General features: G+C 40.4%; 1 protein-coding gene across 6 annotated transcripts in view; it reads left to right on the forward strand.

Moving 5' to 3' along the window:
- Positions 1-19,879, forward strand: part of RP1 (RP1 axonemal microtubule associated) — a 312,050-nt gene that overhangs the window by 282,471 nt on the left and 9,700 nt on the right. For all 6 annotated transcript variants that reach the window (XM_047422069.1, XM_047422070.1, XM_047422071.1 and 3 more), the window contains 2 exons: positions 10,919-11,073; positions 15,373-15,451. In XM_047422069.1, the coding sequence (XP_047278025.1) occupies positions 10,919-11,073; positions 15,373-15,451 (234 nt within the window). The remainder of the gene's footprint in view (positions 1-10,918; positions 11,074-15,372; positions 15,452-19,879) is intronic.

The following is a 19,879-nucleotide window of genomic DNA, read 5'->3' on the forward strand; positions in this document are numbered from 1 at the left end:
ATTCACCATCCGCGGTGTTGGTTGGGAGCAGCCCGGAGGAGATGCCGATTGCCCTTGGCTTGTTGTCCTGAAGAGTCTTTAGTTAACGGCCTGGCAGTGATGCTTAGGGCTGATAAGAATGCTGACTCAGCTCGAGGCGGCCTTGCCACATATTCTGGCTCCAGGCTCTCTCCAGGAGAGATGGATGATAAAAGAAGGTGAGGTTCGAGGCCACATCTATGGGTGAAGAAATGTTTGATGCCAGACTTTGGCAAGTGGTCAGAAGGGCTTTACTTCAAATCAAGAAATAACCATCTGAGAATGTATTAAAGTACCATCATATTTGAAATATGCCTACTTCAAAATATTTGCATTTATGAAACTTGAAGTCATGAGAAAATAAGCCGAAATGCCTGCTGACAACCTATAGCAAGTTTTAGATAACAACTGAGCTAAATTAAAAAAAGGACAAGCTTTCTTTAATGCTTTAGCCTTTATCACAGTACTCGTCAATATGTGAGGGGAAAACATGGGCTTCAGAATGATTCAGACCTTTTCATCCACGAGAGAACTATAGCTCAGATACACAGCATCTGGCGGCAAATCTAGGTCTCCATCACTGGCTATGTGAATCGGGGCAAGTGGCCAGGTTTTCTGAGTTTCTGTTACTCTCTTTGTGAAATGGGAAATACAACATCTATTGCCAGAATGATTACCATTTAATCCACCATCGAAACCAGCACTCTTTTTGAGAGCAAAGAAGGGCTCTGAATCATTATTTCAGGACAGCAGTGTCAGTGAAGACCTTTCTAGGCAAACCAAGGCCATGGGACTCCTGTGGGGTTTCCACCAGGAGCACGGCAGAGCAGCACGATAGGTGCCAATCACAGAGGAGGCATTCACTACACTAAATTCATTCCTTCCCCTCCTTCCTTTGCATCATTTAGCTGTTATCATGGGAACACTGGTATCACAAAGAGCACTTTGGGATTAGTATAGGCTGTTCTCAACCCCACTGACAGAGTGACCCTCTTAAAATGTCAATCAGATTATGTCATTCCTTTGCTTACAACCCTCCAAAGATTTTCTAACTTACTAAGAGTAACAGCCAAAGTCATCACAATGTCCTACAAGGACCTACTTGTGTCCCGCCACCACCTGCTGCCCCCAACTCCAGCCTCTATCTCCCTCGTGGCTCTGGCTTGCATCCCCAGAGCCCTCAGGCCCCTGCCCTTTCTGTCCCGTCTTCTACCACAGGCCTTGCCCAGGCCTCTGCATGGTCAGCTCTTCATCTGTGCTCAGGTCTCTGATCCAAGGGACGTTTCCAGTGCTGCTTTCCTGGCAACCTTCTGTAGAACTGCAAGAAACTCCACTCCCCTCCCAACTGTGGCATCCCTTTTCTCTCTACGGCTCAGACGTACTTCTTTTGTGTGTGTGTGAGACAGAGTGTTGCCCAGGCTGGAGTGCTGTGGTGCAATTTCAGCTCCACTCTCTGGGTTCAAGGGATTCTCCTGCCTCAACCTCCTGAGTAGCTGGGACTACAGGCGTGCACCACCACGCCCAGCTAGTTTTTGTATTTTTATGTATTTATGTATGTATGTATGTATTTATTTATTTACGTATTTTTAGTAGAGACAGGGTTTTGCCACGTTGGCCAGGCTGGTCTCAAACTCCTGACCTCAGGTGATCCACCCGCTTCGGCCTCCCAAAAGGCTGGGATTACAGGTGTGAGCCATGGTGCCCGGCCCAGAGGTATTTCTTTTTCAACAATCAGATATGTACGTTCAACCAAGAGGCAGAGGATGATGCAGCCCCAAACCGCCGCCGTATATGGTCTTGGATCCCAAACCTTCAGTGCAGACTGGAACTGAACTGTCTGCACATGTTTAACGCTGAATCTCATTTGCCATCTGTTCCTGAGATCTGATTTTTTTGGGCCGTATCAATGTGATCTCACCACAATGAGTGCTCTGAGAGCTTAATTCTTGGTGACCTGAGAGAAAGCACTAAAACGGTTCATTAATTAAATCAAAGGGAAGCTTCAGCCTAGGGGTTTATCTTCGGGAAGTTTGGTCGCTCTGACTGCAGAGCTCCAGGGCCCTTGTTCCCACCCTTGCTCCAGTCCTGCAGGGGCTGGTAGCCATCCCTGCACAGCATCGCAGGGCTCAGGTGCAGAGGGAAGCAGGCCCGCTGTTGGGAAAGGGGGCACCTGAGGAGTCCCTGGGGCAGTCATTAGTGTTACCTAGGCGCTTTAGAGCCTCATGGCTAAGACTAAGGGACTAGGGAACTCCCCAAAACACAATTGCACTCTTTTTTCTGATTAGGAAAGGTTCCACAAAAAATACCCATGTTGACTAACAATATTGTGTGCTCTGTGATAAGGCTGAGGGCATCAGTGAGAAGCTCATGGCCTTTTAGCCTTCTCCTTGAACTTTATGGTTATTTGGTTATGTCCACCAAGGTAGGTAGAACCTGAAACTTGCTCAGAACTTTTTCCCGAGATGAAAGAAAGTGTCCTGAGAGAGCATGGCCCCAGGATGATTTACCAGCTGGACAGAGTTGGAAGCCCGGGTGGCCCAAAGAACCCTTCATACCACCTTCTCTAAATTGAGGACCTAGATAAATATTTAGCTCAATTTATTTATTTATGTAGCTTCAATTTATTTATTCAGCTCCTCAATTTATTTACTTTTAATGGCAAAAACGCAGTTACTTTTGCACCAACCTATAGAAGGACCTGAGTGGAGAATCTTCTGGTTAGGGTCCTAATTAAGATGTAAGGTCTCATGGATTTCACTGGGGTGTAATGCTGTTTGCCCCTAATAAAGGTTGTGGAGTCCTCTGTGTGTGCGTGTGTAGACATGCTTGTCTCTGTGTGTGCGTATGTGTGTGCGTGTGTAGACAAGCTTGCCTCTGTGTGTGCATATGTGTGTGCATGTGTAGACATGCTTGCCTCTGTGTGTGCGTATGTGTGTGCATGTGTAGACATGCTTGCATACATGTTTGCACAAGGGCACATCTCTCTAGGTAAAGTCCCATAGATCGTTTCCCAATAAAATATGAACTATACATATTGTTAGGAGAACAGGAGTCTGCAACATTAGGGATACAGCTGGAAAAATGATATTCTTATGTGATCCTATAGTTGATTTGTTAAATGGAGAATATTTCCCGAGCAGATTGAGGAGATTGAGAAATCTTGGATAGTTTGGATGGAAGGAGAATGAATGGCGCCACTGGGTCACTCTGTGTAAAGGAGATGAGGAGGCATTCTAAATGAATTCTCTTAGGGGGAGCTCCTCTAGCCCACTGTCTGGCATGAAGGGCTCACCATACTAGGTCCCCACCTCACCCCTCTTCAGTCACTCCACAGGCTGGTGGATGGCACTCCTTAGGGACGGTCAGAGTCTGGGAAGCGAAATTCTATTGTCCACTCCACTAACACATATGGACCTGGGTCTAGGAGATGTGGCCAAAGGGCCAGAAGCTGGGTGGCCCCTGGGGTGAACTGGGGAACAAGAACAAAGTTAGGAAGGAGGAGACAAGTTCCAATGACTATCGGGGAGGAGCACTTTGGGGCTGGGGTTGCAGAGTGCCTGGGAAGGTGGCCTAGAAAGGGTGCAGCTCTGGGTGAGGAGCAGCCGCTGCCTTCTTTAGATGATTCATACCTGATCAGTGGTTCTCTGGCGACTAGCAGAGTACGGTGCACAAGACTCATCAACGGATGGATGAAAGAGCACTTCTTTATTCAGCAGATATTTATGTATGCTAGGAGCTGGGGATTCTAACCTGAAAAAACATGAGCCCTGCCCCTAGGAACACGGGAGTTAGGAGCAGGGAAACCAAGACGCCCGGTGCACGGATGAGTGGACTTCTGCAGCAGTGCCCTCAGAAGTGGCAGCTCGGGCTACAGAGAGTCCTGCAGACACAGCCATTGCCTGATACAGCACTGATAACTTTAAGTGACCTTAATAACACAATTACCAAATATTCTTTCATGCTTTATTCAAAATTATCCTAAATTGAGGAGATTGCTTCCTTTTAGGGCATTTCTCTGGCAATAGCTGCTTAAATCTAGAAGGAAAATTGCCTGGCTCAACTAATTTATTATCACTTCCTATTACTGACAGATGGCTGACTGTGGGTGAGGCAGCCGCCTGCTCCTTTGCTTCTGGGGCCAAAATTCTGTGGTCCTCAGTACTTCTTTGCTCATGTTCAATCGCAACATCTTAGACTAGGTTAGAAGTGGCCCTTCCTCCTGAAACATCTACTGGTCCTAATGTTCTATGCATTTATAGACACATATAGAAGTCTGATAGGGGAAGACTCAATTCCATTCAACAGATAAACTTCTGGTCTCTAAATAGTGAAGTTACTCCATTCCAGCCAGCTTTGCGAAGGGCTGCCCTCATTGCCACATGTCTGCAGTTTTCACTTTACCTTGTGTAATCAGAAATGGGCCACCAAGGGAAAGAAAAACTTCTTGGCCGAAGAAGAATATGAGATGACCGTTACAATGGAATCCAGATTAAAGACAGAACTATGCTAAATATAGTATATATTATAAACAATTAATTGGCTTCAATTCCTTTATACATTCATTTGAGAAACAGACACGTGTCGTGTATAAGGCCATCTTTCTAGACATGGTCCAGGTTACTGCTATATCTGCATTGTTTTCACCATGATGTGGTGGATTTGAATCTTCATAATGATAACTTTGAGGGGTGCAAAATATAACCTTTTTCCTTCTCCACAACTGATTATAGTCTACAGCCCTTCCTAAGGAAAGTATTGCGTGTGATGGAAATATTCCCTATCTTGATTGTGGTAGTAGTTCCAAGACTGTATGCATTTGGTAACACTCATCAAACTATATCTTAAAAGTGAAATTTACTGCATGTAAATTATATTTCAACATACTTGACTTAACAAATAACCCACACCCTTGTTGCTACTGATGGTGGAAATCTTAATCATTTTGACTCCAAATAAACTCAGACACTTCCAGTATAGAGTTGAATTTAGTCTCTTTTGGTCTAAAACTGACCAATTCAATATACTTTCTTCTCATTTCTGCCCCTCTTAATACTCCATACGGATACCTTAGTTCCTGGATATCATCCTCATGTCTGAAGGTGCGAGGGCCACCTTCAGTTCTCTTTGGCCTTCCCTGAGGTGTCTCATTCTGTTTGTCTTTGGGAGTCACCTCCTCCCTCATTGGTAATGTCTGCTGAAGGAAGCACACATCACACCACAGCTCTGGTTTCTGTGCCACCCTAGCTAGAAAAATGTGTCCCTTTGGGACTGTCACACTGATCTCAGCCATTCCATGCTTCTCTTAGCAGCAGGGATGAGAGCTGATGAGGGCACTCTGTTGCCTTTCCTCTCCTCCTGGCTGCTTGGTCAACAGGATGCTTCCTCAGGGCTGCCCCCAAGATCCAACCCTCAGCATCTGCTGGTGCATCTCTCAGGTCAAGTCAGAGACGCCAGGGAGGGAGGGAAGGAGACAGAGGGGAGGGAGGGAGATAGAAAAGGGAATTTTTTCTCCAGCACTCTTGTAAAAAAAAGAGAGAGATTTTTTCAAAAACTCTTACAATGAATAGTCACATTTTTCACAAGTGATGTCTCTTCTAAGATTCTTTCAGTCTGTTTCAGAAATCAGTGGACTTTTTGTTCTAGACCTTACTCAGAACTGTCTTCCCCCAAGAAATAAATGTCACTCCCGGAGGCCCCAGGGCCCTCAGGGCAAAAAAGAAAAATGTAGGGAAGAAAAGTCTCAGCTACAATCTCATAATTGTATCCTGATATGTTTGCCAGAATGATGGTGATAATAATGATCTTTTGGCAGATGGAATTCCAGTTCTGAATGGTAGAAAGCAGGGCTTTGTTCTGGCTGCGTTCATTTTAGATTGTGCGATCTTTCCACTGGCTCTCTGAGACGAGGCCATCCAGGCCATAGGCAGCAGGCACTATAGCTGCTGACTGGTGAACTGTACTCGGTTACCTTTAGGCTCTGGGAGCCCCTCTACTCTCTTGGTTGATTGCTGATAGATATCACAGGCCCTTGGCCTTATCCAACCTGCTGCTATTCATTAAGCTGTCATGGTTCTTCACACTTTCCTGCTACCACTGTCTCTGTTTCCCAGCTCAGGCTCTGGGGCAGTGTGTGTGGGGTCCACTTTTTGGGGACAGCTAAGTAGCCCGCACTGTTCAGGGCTAGTCCCCGGAGCAGTGCGGGGCTCTGAGTAGAGAATTGCAAAATGAATCAAACAGCTGCTGCTTCTCTTCCCTGCAGGTCTCCTCTCACTTCTATTACTTCTGTGTCTTTGGCCTCTAGTCCTGTAAAAAATATATATAGCTTTTGTTTTGATTTAATCTGCTCTTAATTTTAGAAAAATTTCCCACAACATGAAAGTACATGTGATCGCTCTCTCTCCCTCCTCTCCTGTCCCTTCTCCCTCCTGTTGCAGTTTTGCTCTCATTTCTCCATGCCTCACCTATGTGTGGGCTCAGATATCTGGTGCAGGCATCCTTGGCAGTCATCTCGGGCAGCAAAAGTTCCTGAGTGAGGAGCTGAGGCAGCAGGTGGAGCTTAGGAGTCTCTGGCAATTTCCACCTGCTTCTGCACTCTCCTCTGAGCCCCAAGGCTTGTGGGCTCCTTGGCTTCTAAGGAGTGCCTCCTCCTATCCTGTTCTTCCTGGGGCCTGAAGACAAGGTCCTGGTGGAGTGCTTGCAGGAGCGGTAGGGAGAGATAAACTTCAGGTGTCTGGTTGTTGATATGTCCTGATCATCCTCTGTCCCTGCCTGGTGTGGATTGGGCCCAATGATATAGCTGCAGATAACACAGATGCTATCTGGTTTAAGGCTCTTCTCCCATACACACTGCTGGACAGAGACTCCTGTATCATCACAGAAATATGAACTCATAGCCAAAATAATGTAACATCTGTATAGTACAACTGTGTCAAAAGAAAATAGAGACTAGATCATGATGCAGTGGTATTATAACAAAGAAACTAAAAATTTGAAGACTTATAATGAACATATTTAAAGAGATAAAAAAAGTTTAGTGATGAAGAACAGTTCTTTCCCAAGATGATATTTTTCTTTTATTTCTTTTTATTTTTTTGAGATGGAGTATCACTCTGTTGCCCAGGCTAGAGTGCAGTGGCACGATCTCGGCTCACTGCAACCTCCACCTCCTGGGTTCAAGCTATTCTCCCACCTCAGCCTCCCGAGTAGCTGAGATTACAGGCGCCTGCCACCACGCCCTGCGAATTTTTGTATTTTTAGTAGAGATGGGGTTTCTCCACATTGGCCAGGCTGGTCTTGAACGCCTGACTTCAAGTGATCCATCCACCTCGGCCTCCCAAAGTCCCGGGATTACGGGTGTGAGCTACTGCACGTGGCCTAGGATGATATTTTAGAGAAGTTTCATAATGACTGATAAGCTCTCAGACCAGTGACACTAAGCCAGGTCAACCATTCTTGGGTGTGGCAAGGCTGTCCATTAAGCAGGCAGAAGTTAGGGAATGCCAACACCTGGAACTCTGAAGGAGGCTACAGTTCACCTGTGCATTCTTATATAAATTAAAAAAAAATACCAGAAGTACATTGTATTTTCTGTTTTTTGTTTTTTACTGGTTCAACAACCAACCAGGAGACTAAGCAGCTGAGTTCATTCATTGCAGTAAAATTGGACTGGAAAAAAAAAATTAAGTCATTGTGCTTGGACAAATTTTTTGCACATCCCTCTCCTAAACTTCTAGTGAAAAATCCTATCATCCCCCTTCCCCAACCATGTGACATTTTAAATATATCCTTATGACTAAGCAATTATATGTCCCCATGAAAAGCAAGTATATTAAAAAAAAATTCTGTGCTTGCTACAGTAAGCAGAGACTGAAGAATCCAGGGATTAAGGATACTATTTATGGAGCTGTTAATGCTTGGAGTTGAGGCTGATAAATCATCATTAACAAACACTTAGCAAAAATTTGGGCCTACAAAGATGTTTGAAAATAAACCTGCAGGTGAAGATTTTGAAAGATTTTTGTGCCACTAATAAGATCATATAAATCTTATTTATGTAGTCTGCACATTTATAAGCCCAAAGAATGAATAAGTTAAAGAAATCAGACATTAAACATGCTGAGCTTTGATAATACATGGGTTATGCATTCCTTGACAGATGGGGGAATAGTTAAAATGGTAATAAATAATAAAAAAATAAAGATGAGAGTGTTGAAGATAACGACATTGCAAACAAAAGTGAAAAAATAGTGAAAATACATAGTGTAGCTATCAATTGAATTGGGTGACAATTGTGGCAAATAGGAGGAAAAACATTTTATGCTGTGCTTCTGGCTTTGTCATATAAGGTTTTCATAAGCACCTGAAGTTAGTTGCTAATTGTCAGAAAGGAAAATTTAACATCAACCATGATAAAAAGAAATTTTAAAAATTTGGCAGAAATGTCCAACATAGATGGATAACCAACAACAAATCTACTTTTTCAAATACTTTAAGCTAAATGACAGTGATAGATGCAGTAATAGCCACTTCTAAAAAATGGCACTTTAAGAAGATTATCTGTAGCCTGAATGACAGGTATTAGTAATACCTGTCTTTGAATATATTCAGGTAAAATGATCTCCATTCTGGAAAACATTGACATCTTGAAATCTATCCTCGTATTTTTTCAAGTATTCTAGCTAATTTTAAGTTCTCTTCTTACATATTTTAGACTTATCATTGAGCTCCCCCAGGAGTTCATCTCCTTCTATATATCCTTCCCTTGAGGTCAGATAATTTATCAGCCTTGTACTTTTTTACAATAGAATGAATATTTGTTAGCTAGGGCATATGGCCCTGCTTTTAAATCAACAACTTTGAGCTTTGACTTTTCCTGCCCAAGGAGAAGGACTGAAGAAAGGAGCTGATGCAATCTTTGCTTACTCAGAATTGTTTACAACACCTGATATTTTAGGGTGTGTCTAAGTGACATGTTAACTAAGCATTATTTAAGTTCTCCCTTTGGGTTAAGTTAGATAAAGAAGAATTTCATATTGCCTTAAAGATCAAGAAAAAAAGTCTGAAATAATTTATTGTTATGAATTTAGCATTAAAAAAGAATTTACATGCTTTTGTTGTACTACTATAGCAAATGCTTAGTGAATCATATTATGTAGTATAATGAACACGAAGTCAATGTTACAGATTCCAGCAAAAATGTCTGTTTCTCCAGGTGGGGTGGGTGGAATTGTGTATTGTTCATCTCCCAATTTAAACTATGTAACTCTTTTTGACTCGGTTTGAGAATAAAAGTTAGTGCTCAACTATGATAACCACCTTGTTCTAAATTTCTGGTACATTTTCTTTCTTTGAATTATTTAGATGGCAAGTACACGTACGTGTGTGTGTGTGTGTGCGTGCATGTGTGCATGTGCGTGCATACTTTTTGAGGTGCATATGTATTTAACCTAATCAATTGGAGCAGCTTCTGGGGACACTGTGTTGAGAAGTATCTGAGGCCATGTGCAGGTTAGCAGGAAGCTGCATGATTTCATTAGGGCCGTGTGATGGTTGAGGAAGGGCTGAGTGTTGCTTTTTGTGCTGTCAATATGGAGTTTGTGTTCTAAATGCTTTTTTATGTATACTTTCAAACACCTTTAACTATTCATTTAATTGTCTTACTTTATATCTGTTTTAATATTTTAAGGTCTCCCTTTAAAAAAATCATAAGCAAGTTCACTCTTCATCTGAAATTTAAAAGATTTCTCAGTGAACAGAAGCCTGGTTTCTCTATGTGAAGATGTCAAATCATGCTGGTCCTCACAAGCATCATACTTGTTTTCATGAAGAATTTTAGGAGAAGTTTTCACTTAATTCAGTCCAGGCAGTTCCACATGTTGTCAGACCAGCTCTTCTTTATAGGTTGCTTGAAATATTTCTTTGGTTGTCCTAAATTCATGAGAAGTGTTCTAATTTTCTGCTTACACTCAGCTGGGTTTCACTCTGGGGTATTTTTGAATATGTAAGCCTGCACAAAGAAACTGATGTATCTTCTCTGCTTATACCATTTCCCAATATACCACATTTGTCTTTATAAAGGTCAGGCATGATGGAAACAGCCAATGTTTCTCACTTACCTTGTTTCCTTACTTGTTGGATTTTCATGTCTGAGTTCTTCGGAAAATGTTAATGTGAATTTCTATAAATGTAACTGCTCAATTGCACAAAGTATGATTTATAAAGAGTTCTAAGATCTTGGAATAAAAAGTACTCATTGTATCCCAGATATTATTCTTACTAGTAATATCAGCAAGAACAATCGCTTTTCTAATTATTTATTTCTATCAATGTCTCAGAATTTGCCTTAATTCTAAGGACAAATACAGTGGATTATAATTTGCTGGTACCTTACTGGACTTTTTGAAAAAATATATATTTAAATTTGCATCTCTCTAGGATCTTTGTTTTTTTTTCTCCGTCAAGAGGGCTATTAAAAATCTCCATTGTTAGAATAATCTCCAAGAAGTAGCAGCATGAGTGACCAGCTGTGATTAGAACAGCCAGACTTTAGGGGGAAAAATGCCCACTTTCATCTAATAAAGAGAGAGGAGAGTTTCTGTTTTTTTAAAAAAATACATCTTTTCATAATAACTGTGAAAGTGCAGTGGTTATTGAAAGTACATAATTGCTAACAATAATTATTTTGAAACAGTAGTTCTGGGAATAGCTGAGTCTGTATGAATGAGGTAAACATTAAGTAGCTGGAAGTATGTTTGAAAGGGGGTACATAGAAGAAAAAGAGTTGGGGCCAAGTATCATCAACTAGATGAAAGAACATTCTGATTTCCTTGCAGAATATCTAACTACATTCAAAGAGATAAATAAAAATGAGAAAGATAATATCAGATTTCTTACATTTCAGTGGTGCTTTATGAGATTCGCATATACACAGGCACAATGACAGGTGCAGAAACAGAGTCTAATGTATTTATCAACCTCATCGGTACCAGAGGTGATTCAGGAAAACGAAGACTTCATCAGTCCAAAAACAATGAAATCAAGTTTCAGCGTGGACAGGTAATAGAAACAGGTCTTCATCAGTTTTTACCGACTATCGTTCCTTTAATTTATTTAACAAAAACACACACAAACAGAAAATTTCTGAGATGCTCAGTTGATTCCTGTGAGGAATTCAGGGAGGTGTGGTCATTTCTTAGTGTGCATGTTATTGTTCTGGAGTTGAGTAGAGGATGGGACTTAACTCAACAAACACAATATTCTACTTCCAGATAGGGCAGACTCAGCTATAACAAAATGAACATCCTGCTGAGAACAACTAGAAACATTTGATAAAACATCTTTTAAACTGGTTTTAAAGGTATGACAGAGCTACCCAGGCGTTTAGGGCTTGAGGGCCCAAGATCCTGGAGAGAAATAAAGTGCAGAGGAGAACATGGTATCAGCATGGCTTTCCACCATTTGTAAGGGGAAGCTTGGAATCAAGAAGCCAGTCAGAAAGTAGCAGTGGAGGAGTGGAGAGTCTGAGATGCTGTTCAGAGATTTAGGAGGCCTCATGGGGCTGGGATTTCTCACTTGAAAAGTGGCGATAGTGTGAGTCCTCTTGAAGCAGATCAGGGACAGGTCCTGCAGCTCGTCATTGAGAGCAGTGATCCCAGGAAGCAGCAGTGAAGGAAGGCAGAGAGAGAGAGAGACGTAAAGAGGAAGACTCAGTGGAAGTGTGCATTCTATAAGTCACTGCTGTTGGCAGCAGGGACTGGATCACTCTAGGACCAGAGCCACCAGACTGGGCACCAGGAGCAGCAGTGATGGGAGCAGCCTTGGGGGACAGAACTCATGTCTTATGGCCGTGCACAGATAAACTCCATCTCTGCCATTGTGGTTACTCCATCCATGGCCCATGGCCCATTGCACCACAGGCACTGAGGTGGCTAAGGCAAGACCTCTAAATAAAAAATTATAAAATATTATTGGAAAAAAATTTAAAACATACTTACATGGGAAGCTGAGGTAGGAGAATTGCTTGAGCCTAGCCCAACTTAGCAAGACCTCATCTCTAAAAAAAAGAGAGAAAGAAAGAAAGAGAGAGAGAAAGAAAGAGAAAGGAAGGAAGAGAAAGAAAGAGAGAGAGAAAGAAAGAGAAAGGAAGGAAGAGAAACAAAGAGAGAGAAAGAAAGAGAAAGGAAGAGAAAGAAAGAAAAGAAAAAGAAAGAAAAAAAGAAAAAAGAAGGAAAGAAAGAGAAAAAAGAAAAAAGGGAGAGAGAGAGAAAGGAAGGAAGGAAGGAAAAGAAAAGAGAGAAAGAAAGAGAAAGAAAGGAAGAAAGAAAGAAAAGAAAAGAAATGAAGGAAAGAAAATAAAAGAAAAAGAAATATACTATGTTCAGGGACTCAGTATTATAAAGTTCTTCCTGCTGTCTAATGGATCTGCAGTTTTAATGTAATATCAATCAAAATCTCAGAAACTTTTTTAAACAGAAATTGGCAATCTAATTATATAATTTATGTGGAAATGCAGTCAAATACACCTAAAATAATGTTGAAGAAGAAAAACCAAGTGGAGGAATTACAGTACCAGGTATCAAGACTTATGAAATTAAGGTAATTAAGACAGCATCAATTTGTACAAAGAAAGTCAAATATAGCAAAGAAACAGAAGACAGTCCAGAAACATATCCACACATCCTAATGTGCAGCATCAGAGAAAGCACTGAAAAATTTCAACAAATTTTTAAATTGGATATTGTTATAGAAAAAAATCACAACTTCTATTTTACATCAAATCCCCAAATCAGTTTTATGTAACATTATATCTAAATGTGAAAGGTAAAACAATTAAATATCTAGAAGACAATGATGCAAGAAAATCCTCATAATCTAGGGGGTTGATTAGGACTTTAAAAGTGTTTAATTGTGGGCTGGGCACAGTAGCTAATGCCTGTAATCCCAGCACTTTGGGAGGCCGAGGTGGGTGGATCATTTGAGGTCAGGAGTTCGAGACCAGCCTGGCCAACATGGTGAAATCTTGCCTTTACTGAAAATACAAAAATTAGCCGGGCGTGGCGGCAGGCGCCTGTAGTCTCAGCTACTCAGGAGGCTGAGGCAGGAGAATCACCTGAACCCGGGAATTGGAGGTTGCATTGAGCCAAGACAGCACCATTGCACTCCAGCCTGGGTGACAGAGAAAGACTCTGTCTCAAAAAATAAATGAATAAATAAAATTAATTGTGGCAAAATACACATAACCTAAAATTTATTTTAACCATTTTGAAGTATAATTTTCTTACAGTATAATGGTTTAAGTACATTCACATTATTGTGTAAGCATGACTACCGTCCATCTCCAGAACTCTTTTCATTTTGCAAAACTGAAACTCAGTATTCATTAAACGACTCTCCATTCTTCAGTCCTCCAGCCCTTGGCAACCACCATTCTACTTTATGTGTCTATGAGTTGACTACTCTAGGTACCTCATATAAGTGGAATCATACAGTATTTTCTTTTTGTGACTAACTTCACTTAGCATAATATCCTCAAATTTCATGCATGTTGTAGCATGTGACAGGATTTATTTCCTTCGCGAGACTGAGTAGTATTCCATTGTATTGTTCATGCATGTTGTAGCATGTGAGAGGACATCTTTCCTTTGAAAGGCTGAATAATATTTCAAAACATTTCATGTTTTGTTTATCCATTTACCCCGTGATGGACACTTGGGTTGCTTCCGCCTTTTAGCTATTGTGAATGATGTCGCTATGAACATGACTAGACAGTTATAAGCTAAAACTTTAAAGACAAATCAGAAAGCATAAAGGGGAAAAAGATAAATTATACTATTTTAGTATTAAAGATTTCTGTTCCTCAAGATACCATTAAGAGAGTAAAAAGGGAAGGCACACAGTGGGAGAAGATATTGTAAAAACATACTGGCAAAAGACTTGTTTGCAGACTGTGTATAGAAAACCACAGAGCAACAAGAAAAAGACAGAAAACCCTATTTAAAACATGGGCATGACACTTGAATGTGTGCTCTACAAAAGAGGGTATCCAAATCACCAATAAACATAAAAAGCCTACCCAGCCTTATTAATAATCAGAAAGAGTCAATGAAAATCACAGTGAAGTGTTACTGTGCATGATCAGATGGTTAAACTTAAAAAGAATAACAATAAATATTGATTCACCTGTGGAGCACTTTGAACTCTCGTATGCTTCGCATACGGAGTGCATATTAGTATAAGTATTTTTAGGAAGTGAGACTTACTATACACACACACACACACACACACACACACACACACACACCCCCTATAACCCAGCTGTTTCCCAACATAAATATATGCAGATATCATGAAAAGACCCATATAAGAATGTTCTGAGCAGCATTATTCTAGGAATAATGTTTGTCTACAAATAGTAGAGTGGATAAATAATTTCGAGTAATATTCAGTAATGAAAATGAACAAGACGCTGCTGAGCAAAATGGCATGGATGAATCTCACGTTGAATGACACAAGCCAGGTGGAGCAAGAATGCACTGTAGGATTCTGTTGATATATGGTCCCAGACAAGGCAAAACAAAATAAAAGTGCTAAAAGTCAAGATAGTGGATATCGTTTGGGGAGACAGTGACTGAGAGGGGCATGTTGGGGTCTTAGGTGCTGATAAGGCTCTGTTACTTACATGGATGTGTTTGTTGAGTGTGCATTTGTAATTTGTATACCTGTATCTACTTCATAGTTTATTTTAAAACGTCCTATGCGTGTGTATGTATATGTATGTACATATACATATTTCAATACATAGTTTATTTAAAAGTAAAAGATATTAAGAGACAGAACAATGTGGAAAACACCAATTCTGGTGATAGCTTCCTGAGTCTGAGACTTGGCTCCTCACACACTAGGTGTTGACCTGGGACAAGTAGCTTAACTCTAGGTGCCTCAGTCTCTTCGACTGTGAAATGAGAAAGTGAGTAGTACTGACCTTATGGGCTGTTGTGAGGATTCAATGAGTTAATATATGAAAAACACTTGAGAGAGTTTGGCACTTACTCATATAGTACGGATTATGAGCTGTTATTATTAGTAAGAGTAGATTTAAAATAAATCTCCTAATTACGTTCTAAAAATCTTTTTCACTAGACTCTGTGACTTAGGAGAGCAAGAATTATATTCTACATGTTTTTGTGTCTCTCACAAAGCATAGTGTAGAACTTTGCACATAAAATAGTAATTTTTATAGTAGTAGTAAGAATACTATATAGTATAGTAACAATATAGTATCAATAGTAATACTATTTTTTTTCTAGAGAAAGGAAATATCCTAATGGTCACTGAGTTTATTTCTTTATTGTACAGGTTGATATTTTTTCCATTAAGGCTGTATCTCTCGGAAAATTGAAGAAAGTTCTGATTAGTCATGATGGAACAGGTCCAGGTAAGATTTAGTTTCTTGGTAAGAAGTTTATTTTGCAAATTTATGAAAAATCGTATAAGAAGCAGGTGAAAGAACAGGAAAATGTACAGGTCATATAAAATTCAGATAAGAAAATAATCTTATTTTATATTATATTTAATGTAAATATATGAAGTTATATTTATATATAATTTACATTGAATATATTATAATTATATTTATATACTATAATTATAATATATTTATAGAATATATATTTATAAATCATAAATTTACATTAAATATATTTAATGTAAATATTTAATGTAGATTTATGATATATATTTACATTAGGTATATTTACATTAAATATAATGTAAGGTTATAAATGGTCACTAATTAAATTATATAGTGACCATTTATTGACTGAATATATTAAATTATATACATTTACATTAAATATATTTAATGTAAATTTATGAAGTTTTGTCAGGTTGAGTTTATTACATGACTTGTACAAGCACATGATTATATTACACAGGAAATTTCCTAGAAAGACAAAAGCTTTGGTGTGTGCATGCATGTGTGCATGCGTGTGTGTGATCTCCAGACACCCTGGGCATTCTTCACAGTTGCATGTCTGTTGTGTCTGTCCCTGTGTTTCCCTGGGTCCCTTATCCCACACTCTTCAGCAAACGCGCTGCTTGAACACCATCCCTGATCCGACCTTTCCCTCCATGTCTTCTCCCCAGGCACAGCTATCAACCAAGACCTGTCAATTCCACTTCATTCATATCTTTCCTACTGGCTCCCTTAGAGCTATTAAATTCAAACTTCAGTTCTACTGCTAAAATGTAACTCTATATTATAACTTATATCATAGTACTGAAACCATTTATCACATTGATTTCCATATTCCTCTTTTCTTTCTGCTAGATTTTGAGTTTTTTAAAGGCTAGAATTATGTAGTATTCATCTTCATTTTCCTAGTGTCTAGTATTGTGCCTGACAGTATAGTTTAATTAGTGACCATTTACTGAATGAACATATTTAAATCAGTGAAATGATTTTCAGTAAATCTCTTTAAAATGAATGGGAAGAGCTTAAAGTGGCCATAGTGACAGAAACCAAATGGAGCAGAAGCAGAAAAGGTGAGGTAGCAGTGAATAGAAAGAAAATAGACACATAGTTCAACGAGTTCAGGATCGTATAGAGGAAATTATTAGAAAAAAGCAGAAGTAAGAAATAGAATAGAGGAAGGAATGACATAATATGCTTCCTTCTATACATGGTGTCACTGTAGAGTGGTGTTTCTGTAAGGTGGTGTCACTGTAGAGCAATGCCACTGTAGAGTGATGTTACTGCAGAGTGATGCCACTGTGGAACATTGCCACTGTAGAGCACTGTCACTGTAGAGTGATGTTACTGCAGAGTGATGTCACTGTGGAACGCTGTCACTGCAGAGCACTGTCACTGTAGAGTGATGTTGCTGTAGAGCTGTGTCACTGTAGAGCAGTGTCTGTAGGCTGGTATCACTGCAGAGTGCTGTGACTGTAGAGTGGTGTCACTGTAGAGTTGCATTTCTGTAAGGTGGTGTCACTGTGGAGCAGTGTCACTGTAGAGTGGCGTTTCTGTAAGGTGGTGTCACTGTGGAGCAGTGTCACTGTACAGCAGTGCCACTGTACAGCAATGTTACTATAGAGTGATGTCACGGTGGAATGTTCTCACTGTAGAGCAGTGTCACTGTAGATTGATGTCACTGTAGAGCAGTGCTGCTGTAGAGTAGTGTCGCTGTAGAGTGATGTCACTGCAGAGTGATGTTACTGTAGAGGAGTGTCACCATAGAGTGGCTTCACTGCAGAGTGGCATCAGTGCACCGCCATGGCACTGTAAAGGAGTGTCACTGTAGAGCAGTGTCACTGTAGACTATGTCACTGTAGACTGGTGTCACTGTAGAGTGGTGTCATTGTAAAGCAGTGTCACCATAGAGCAGCTCACTGCAGAGGGGTGTCATTATAGAGTTGTTTCACTGCAGAGTGGTGTCACTGTAGGGTAGTGTCACTGCAGAGCAGTGTCACTGTGGAGTGTTGTCAGTGTGGAGTGGTATCACTGTAGGTGGTGTCACTGTAGTGCAATGTCACTGTGGAGCAGCACTGTCACTGTAGAGGGGTGTCACTGTAAGGTGGTGTCACTACAGAGTGATATCACTATAGGTGGTGCCACTGTGGAGTGTTGTCACTTTGGATCAGTGTCACTATAGGTGGTGTCACTGTAGGGTGGTGTCCCTGTGGAGTGTGTCACTGTGGAGCATTGTCACTATGGAGTGGTATCACTGTAGGTGGTGTCAGTGCAGGGTGGTGTCACTGTACAGGGTTTCACTGTAGGGTGGTGTCACTGTAGCAGTGTCACTGTGGAGCGTTGTCACTATGGAGTGGTATCAGTATAGGAGGAATCACTGTAGGGCATTGTCACTGTAGAGCAGTGTCACTGTAGGTGGTGTCACTGTAGGGTAGTGTCACTGTAGGGTGGTGTCACTGTAGAGGGGTGTCACTGTAGGGGGTGTTACCGTAGATGAGTGTCACTGTAGACGGGTGTCAGTATGGAGTTGTTTAACTGTGGAGCAGTGTTACTGTAGTGCTGGGTTGCTGCAGAGTGGTGTCACTGTAGAGTGTGGTGCCTTTTAGATTACTTTTATGAAGGATGGAAACTTTTATTGTGATTTCCTGCTTTTGCCCCAAGCCTCCCTTGCCAGCAGCACATGGATATTCAGGATAGCTAGTTACAGTCAGAGCTGTAGACTTTGGCATGGATTGGAACAGAACAGTTAGTAGAACCCCCAGACTCTTGTTTTAAAAAATTATTCTCAGACTCCTCTTTGTGACATGGGATGGAAACAATGTTAGAACATCCAACCCACATCCTAAAAAGCCAGAATTGAGGTGCTGTAGAGAAAACTGCCACCACAACATCAGGGCAATCACTATTGCAGGCAAAGGAAGGAGAATTAGGCATTTATTTGAAGAGGTAGGCTGCACATTTGAAGGTGAAAATATTATAGCCAAGGTTGTTTGATACAAAGAATAAAAATGACAGAAGGAAGAATGAAAGGGACATTGTGATTTTAAACATGTTTACATGGCTAATTTACTCATATAGAAATGGCTTTGATGGAGGGAGCAATAAACTTCCAAAATACTGATTTTTTTTTTAAGGAAATACTCATTAACAAAAAAATGTGCAGGTACGGGAGGGACAATAGTGAGATTCTCAAGTTATTTTTTTCTTTCCATTTTTAAGAAGAAGCCACATACAGTATTATTCTTTTAACCCAAATACAGTTATGTCTAGGGTTATCTAACCACAAATGGAATATAGAAAGCTTCAGTAAAGACTCAAATTTGTAGCAAATTTGTAGAACTTCAAAACATTTAGGAATTATCTGAGTATCTTAAATAAAATAGATCCCTGGGCCCACCCCAGAGATTCTGCCTGTGTGGGTACCAAGTAATCAGAGGTATATGTGCTTTTCTGTTTGTCTCTTGCAACACAAGCACCTCCAGGGGTCCCGATTCCAGAGGTCCTCAGACTGCGTCCCCAGGGTTCTTTGTTGAGGGACTGCAGGATGCCAGTCCCTGGGTGGATGCAAATGTCAGTGAGATGCATGGGGTGTCTGTGCTCACAGGCAGGGCCTATGGTGACAGACACATATGAAATACTTACATTAAGTTAGAATGAAGTATGATAAATATTTGAAAGTAACCTTCACAGTGCTATTGTCCATTTGACAAAGGGACCTGGAAGAATGTAAAAACCTTCACAGGAAAAGAAGAAAATGTGGTAGGTAGGCTGGAGGTGAGGGCCAAGTTTTGGCTGGATATTTGGAAATTTCAATGGGCTTCTCTGACTGGTGGGATTAGGCTATTTGAAACTCAGTTAAGGAACCCAGTTAAAGCAAGTGAAAAGTAATTACTATAACATGATTTTAAAGTTCTTTAATGAAACTACCCTTCCTACATTCTGAATACTCTTTACACTAAAAGAAAAGTATACCATAATAGAGTATCCAGGTTACGTTCTTTTCCCATATTTTCTTTTCAAACTGTGTATTATTTGGAGTCTGATAACCCACTACCTAATGTAAGCCTGAACATTACCAGTACTGGTGGTTCTACCTGTGTTCACCTCTCCCACAAAGTATCCATCCTGAGTTTTAAATTTTTTCATGATTTCAAAAACCTTTGCTTTAAAGAAAGGCTTTACTAATCATGTGGGGATACTTGAAAACACTGATAGTTTCTGTGCCTTGTAAAAGTTGTGATGTGCCATATGCCCTCTTTTGTGACATGATTTTTTTAACTCAACATTGTTTCCAAGATCTACCCACTTTCATGTGTAGTGCAATAGTTGATTTTCACCACTGTGTAATATTCTATTGCATAGTAATACATAATTAATCTGTCCATCTCTTGT

This window comes from Homo sapiens, chromosome 8 (assembly GCF_000001405.40).
Source record: "Homo sapiens chromosome 8, GRCh38.p14 Primary Assembly".
Taxonomy (NCBI): Eukaryota; Metazoa; Chordata; class Mammalia; order Primates; family Hominidae; genus Homo; species Homo sapiens.